This window comes from Homo sapiens, chromosome 14, assembly GCF_000001405.40.
Source record: "Homo sapiens chromosome 14, GRCh38.p14 Primary Assembly".
In the NCBI taxonomy this organism is placed as follows: domain Eukaryota; kingdom Metazoa; phylum Chordata; class Mammalia; order Primates; family Hominidae; genus Homo; species Homo sapiens.
In genome coordinates, this window is record NC_000014.9 from 43,608,929 (window position 1) to 43,615,265 (window position 6,337).

A 6,337-nucleotide genomic window follows, 5' to 3' on the forward strand; every position below is an offset into this window, starting at 1 on the left:
ACAACCCGAGGCCACAACTCCAAATACTATCACATTAAGGCTCAGAGCTTCAACATTTGATTGGTAGAGGAGACACAGACATTAATTTTATAATAATATCATGTGGGCAGATTTCTGGAAAAGGAATTACTGAGTCATACCATGAGTGCTATGTTTAAAGTTTCTTTTAACCTTTTATTTTAGATTTGGGGATACAAGACAGGTGTGTTACCTGGGTATATTTAAATGACACTGAGATTTGGAGCATGAACAATCCCATCACCCAGGTACTAAGCTTAGTACTCAATAGTTTTCAATCTTTACCCCTCCCCTTCTCTACTAGGCCCCAGTTTCTATTGCTGCCATTTTTATGTATGAGAAGAATGTATATTCTTTGATAGGTAGAGTATTCTATTATATACTATTAGTTAAGTGTTGTGTAAAGTTCAGAACTTCTTTCTTAGCTTTCTGCTTATGATCTGTCTAACGCTTACAATGAAATGTTGGAGTTCTTCACTATTATTATGTGGCTTTCTAAGTATTTTGGTAGTTCCAAAAGTACTTAAGAATCTGGGTGCTTCAAATTTGGGTGCATATTCATTTTCAATAGTTAAGTCTTCTTGTTGAATTAAACCCTTTATCATTATGTAATGCCCTTCTGAGTCCTTTTGTACTGTTGTTCATTTAAAGTCTCTTTTCTCAAATGTAAGATGGGCAACTCCTGATCTTTTTTGTTTTCTGTTTTCACGATAGATCTTTGTCCAGCCCTTTACTTTGAGTCTACGGGTTTTCTGTCATTCTGTGTGGGATATGTCTCTTGACAATTGTAAATGGACATTTCCTTTTTTCCCACTTGCAACTCTGTTCCTTTTAAGTGGGGCATTTAGATCTTTTACATTCAAAAGTCATGTTAATATGTGAGGTTTTAAACCTATCATGAAGTTGTTAGCTTTTTCCTTTGTAGTTTCTATTGTGTGGTTGCTTTAAAAATTCAGTGGGCTATGTACTTGTGTGTTTTTGTGGTATCAAGTATCATTCTTTCATTTCCATGTTTAGAACCCCCTTAAGAATCTCTTATAAAGCCTGGACTGCAAATTCCCTTAGTGTTTGTTTGTCTGGAAAACCTTTTATTTCTCCTTTGCTTATGAAGCTTACTTTGGTGAGATGACAAAACTTATTTTATTTAAGAATGCTTAAAAGAGAAATAGGCCAACCATCTCTTGTGGTTTGAAAGCTTTCTGCTGAAAAGTCTGCTGTTAGTCTGATGTGGCTCTTTTTGTATGTAATCTGACCTCTTTCTCTAGCTGCCTTTAAGATTTTTTCTTTAGCATTGACCTTGGATAGTCTGGTGACTATATGCCTTGGTGATATTCATTTTGAATAGTATCTCACAGCTGTTCTCTGGATTTCTTATATCCAGATATCTACCTCTCTAGAAAGATCAGTGAAGTTTTCTTGGATTATTTCCTCAAATATGTTTTCCTGAATGTTTACTTTTTATACTTCTCTCTCAGGAATGTCAATAAGTTGTAGATTTGACCAGTTTACATAATCTTATATCTCTTAAAGACCTTGATTTTTAAGATTTTTTTCTTATTTTTCTCTCACTGGGTTAGTTCAAGAGAACAGTCTTCAAGCTCTAAAATTCTTTCTTCTGTTGGTGCCAGTCTATTGAGAAAACTTTCCATTCTATTTTAAAATGTCTTAAGTGAGTTTTTTTAATTCCAGAAGCGCTGCTTGATTTCTTTTTAAAATATTTATCTATTCCTTCATTTCCTGGATTTTTAAAATAAATTTCCTCATGTTAATGTTCAACCTTGTCATGAATTTCATTGAACTTCCTCTCAATACTTGCTTTGAATTCTTTCTCTGTCATTTCTGAGTTTCCATTTTGGTTAGGGACCATTGCTGGAAAGCTAGTGTGTTCCTTTCATGGTGTCATACATTCAGACTTTCTATGGTGCTAGAATTTTTGCCCTGATTCCTTTTCATCTGAAGGTGCATGCACTTCTAAATTTTTGAAAACAAAATTCTTTTGTGCAGGTAGAATTTTTTTCTTTTTCTCTTTTCCCCTATAATACTTTGTGGGTTTTTTCTTGCTCTTTCTCTTTCCCTTTTCCTTCTTCCTTATGTGATAGAGAATACTGGGTAGAGTCTTTTGTCTTTGCTTCTATAGCCCTATCCACTTCTTTTGGTAGGCTTAATATTGGGCTGCGCAGTTCAACCAACAAGCCAGTAGATGGTACTTATAGGTAAGAGCCAGCTGTAGCTCATGTGGCTGGGTATATTCTTGATACTCCTTTATTCACCAAAGGATTCTTGTTGCCTCAGGAAATGGCTGACCTATGTAAATTACAGTGGTCTGAACTCCCTGCTAGGCACTGGAGGGGTGGGGACCATAATGGGTGGGGCTGGACCTAGCATGCCCACCTACAGGTCCCCGCAATGGCAGGTACAAGCACCAGCACCAAGGGATAATCAATGGGTGGCCACCACGCATTCACAAGTATGCCTAGGTTTGAAGCTGTGGAACCTTTTAGCTCCAAGTTCTCTGCATGGGTATTGGGGCAACCTAAACTCCTAATCTAGGAGAGTGAGTACTCCAAAAACCTGGAGATCTGCTTGGGCATGTAGTAAAGAGGACCGTTCTGCACTAAGATTTCTTCACAGGAAGGTTTGGGCAGCTCAAACTCCTAATCTACGGTAGCAGGTACTCCAAAGGCCTGGAAATCTGCATTGATGTGGAATGGAGCCATCCCCTTTGTACCAAGATCTCTGCACAGGATAAGTAGGGGCACTGCTGCAATTTAAGCACCACCTGGCAAGATTTCTAATGTTCCGTGATACAGGCAATATTACGGACCATGTCAACAAGCAGGTCAACCTGCTAGCATTGTATCCTGGGAGACCTGGAAGGGCTAAAACAGCAGTGCCAGTCAAAATACAGCTTAAAGACCCCAGTTAAAAATATGCAGTTAAACTGGAAGCAAGAAAGGTCCTAGCATCTGTGCTTAAGAAATTGCTTGCCCATGGTCTTCTAAAACCTTGCAATTCTCCCTGTAATGTAATACCCCCATTTAAAGCCTTCTGGCTAATACCATTTGGTACAAGATTTCAAGGCAATTAATGAGTCTGTGATCCCAATCCACCCATTAGTGACAGATCCATATACTCTTTTAACTCAAGTGCCAGGGAGCACAGAATAGTTCTCAGTCCAAAATTTAAAAAATGTTTTCTTTTCTATCCCTCTGGCCCTGGAATCTCAATAACTTTTTGCTTTTGAATGGGAAGATCCTAATAGCAGAGAAAACCCACAATACACCTGGACAGTACTCCCTTCCTCCGGGCTGGGCTTTCAAAACAGCTCCCCACCCCCTTTTTTTTTTTTTTTTTTTTTTGGCCTGAGCCTTAGAAAGATATCTGAGGGATCTACAACTGGAAAACAGGAGTACACTCCAGTATGTAGATAACTTTTTTGTGTGTAGCCCAACCTGGGAGACATCTGATCAAGTTACGAAAAAGACCCTGAATTTCCTGGCACACAGGGGATACAAAGTGTTCAAAAAGTAGGCTCAAATCACCCTTCAACTGGTTTAATATTTGGGGTATATTTTGATCCCCCAGGCCTGGCAAATATCCCCAGAATGGTGCAAGATATATATGGTTTAGGAGCCCCCAGTACAAAGAAACAGCTTCAATCCTTTTGGGGAATGGCAGGGTTTTGCAGAATATGTGTTCCAAATTTGGGGTCATAGCAAAACCCCTTTATAAAGCAACAAGGGGGCCAGAAAATGAGTCAATGGAGTGGGCCCTAGAAATGAGGGGAAACTTTGCCAAGTTAAAACAGGCTCTTAACAAAGCTCCCACTCTTGGCATCCCAAACTTCATTAAGCATTTTTCCTTGTATATAGCAGGAAAAAAAGGGCATAACTGTGGGAATACTAACCCAGAAATTGGGATCAGAACCCATACCAACCATCTACTTTTCAAAGAAATTGAACAGAGTAGCCTCACAGTGACCAAGCTGCCTGCAGGCAATAGCAGCCACTGTTATTTTAGTGGAAGAAGCCACTAAAATCACCCTGGGTCAACCACTGAAAGTGTTAACTCCACATCAGGTAAGGTCAGTCCTGGGAATAAAAGGACATATCTGAACGATGGGAGAAAGGTTAACCAAATAACAGGCTATATTCCTAGATAATCCAGAGGTTACCCTTAAAACCTGTAACACCCTGAATCCAGCTTCATTGCTGCCCACAGGCCCAGTGACTGATCACTCCTGCAGGCAGGTCATCACATACACATATGTCAGCTGACCTCATTTAAAAGATCAGCCCCTCCCAGATTCAGAGGATAACTGGTTTACAGACAGCAATAGCTTTGTGTCCAATGGAGAATGCCTGGCTGGATATGTGGTAGTAAATTACAACATCATCATTGAGTCCCAACAACTACCCCAGGCACATCATCACAAAAAGCTAAGATCATTGCTCTCATTTGAGCCCTCATATTGGGAAAAAGGAAGAAGCTAAATATCTATACAAATTTCAAATATGCATTTCTCATGGCTCATAATCATGCTGCAATTCGGAAAGTAAGGCAACCACTGACTAGCAAATGTTCCCTCATAAAGCATGGGTCTGAAATTCTACAGCTATTGGAAGCAATACACTTGCCAGAGGCTGTAGCCATGATCCACTGTAGAGGGCATCAAAGGACTTAACCCCTACAGCACAAGGGAACAAAAAGGCTGATAAGGAAGCCAAAGCAGCAGCTTTCAGTGTGCAGTCTCAACAAATCTTACGACTGCTTCCCTTCTATGATTCCCTAATAGAACCTGAATACACATCACAGGAAAAACAGTTAATAAAGGAGCAAGGAGGTCAAAAATGAGGATTCTGATGATATATGGGATCAAAATTATATCTCCCTCAAACAGCTCAATGAAAAGTTACAAAAACCCTGCATAACTCTTACCATATGGTGAGAGAGGCCACTCTGGGTATGGTCAACAGGCCCTTCATTGGGCCTAACTTGGCCTTGGCAGTTAAGCAGGTCTTCCAAGCCTGTTCAGTATGTGTATTCAACAATCCAGGAAGCAAAGTACCCCATCTAATATAATCAGTTCAGAGAAAGGGAACCTACCCAGGAGAAGACTGGCAACTCTACTTTCCCCATGTGCCAGCTTGCAGAGGATACAAGTTTTTGAAGTACTAATTGACACCTTTACTGGCTGGGTTAAAGCTTAACCTACCAGAAGAGAGAATGCTAATGAAGTTATGAAGGTTCTCTTAAAGGAGATAATCCCCCAGTTTGGGTAACCCCAAAGCCTCCAGAATGATAATGGCCCATCTTAAGTCTCCCAAATGACTCAAGGGACTGCTAAGACTCTTGGAATCAAATACTATTTAAATTCAGCACAGAGACCTCAATCCTCTGGGAAAGCAGAAAGTACTATTCATACTCTAAAATGGGCGTTAGGTAAGTTATGTCAGGAAACATCAGAAACTTGGGTCAGCTTAGTGCCCATAGCCCTCTTAAGGATCTGTAATTCCCCAAGAGCAAAAAGTAATAGAGCCCCTATGAAATGTTATATGAGGCCATTTTTAACTAATGATCTAAATACTGATCCAGAAATTGCCAGTCTAATAGAATATCTAGTTAGCTTGGGACAGTTTCGGCAGAATTTGCAAGAGTTTGGAACTCAATGACTCTCCACACCGGGAAATAACAAGTAACCCAAGATCAGGCCAGGAGATAAGGTACTTGTTAAAACGTAGAAAGAGTGGTCACCTGCTCAACAACTACAACCCAAATGGAAGGGACCCTTTTCAGTAGTGCTGGCTGTGCCTTCCACAGCCAAAGTACTACAATGAGACAGTTGGATCCATTTTTCCAGGGTTAAGCCTGCAATACCTGAAGCTCCAGACCTGAAACCCAGAGCTCCTGCCAGCTGCTATGCCTGTGAACCTGTGGAAGACCTGAAGTACCTGTTAAAAAGACAGTCAAAAGATAAGTAAACGCCTACCAACTCTCTTTGGTGTCTTTGTTGCATAGTTACTGTAAGCTGGATAATAGTAGCTATTTTTATATTTCTACAGTTTAATTGCCCTCTTCCGAATGGATGGAATCACTTCCTTTGTGACAATTAAGCAAAATGTTTTCATTCATTTTTATAATGATGATTCCTGACAGTATAGATATCCACCCCCTGAAGTTCCTGTTCAAATAACAAAATAACAGAAAAGTATTTCTGGCTCTATAATGATTTGTCACAATCTGCATATACCGGCAATTAATGAATTATGAGTATTTATTAAGAACTTTTTAAATTTAACACATGGACTGTTAAATACCA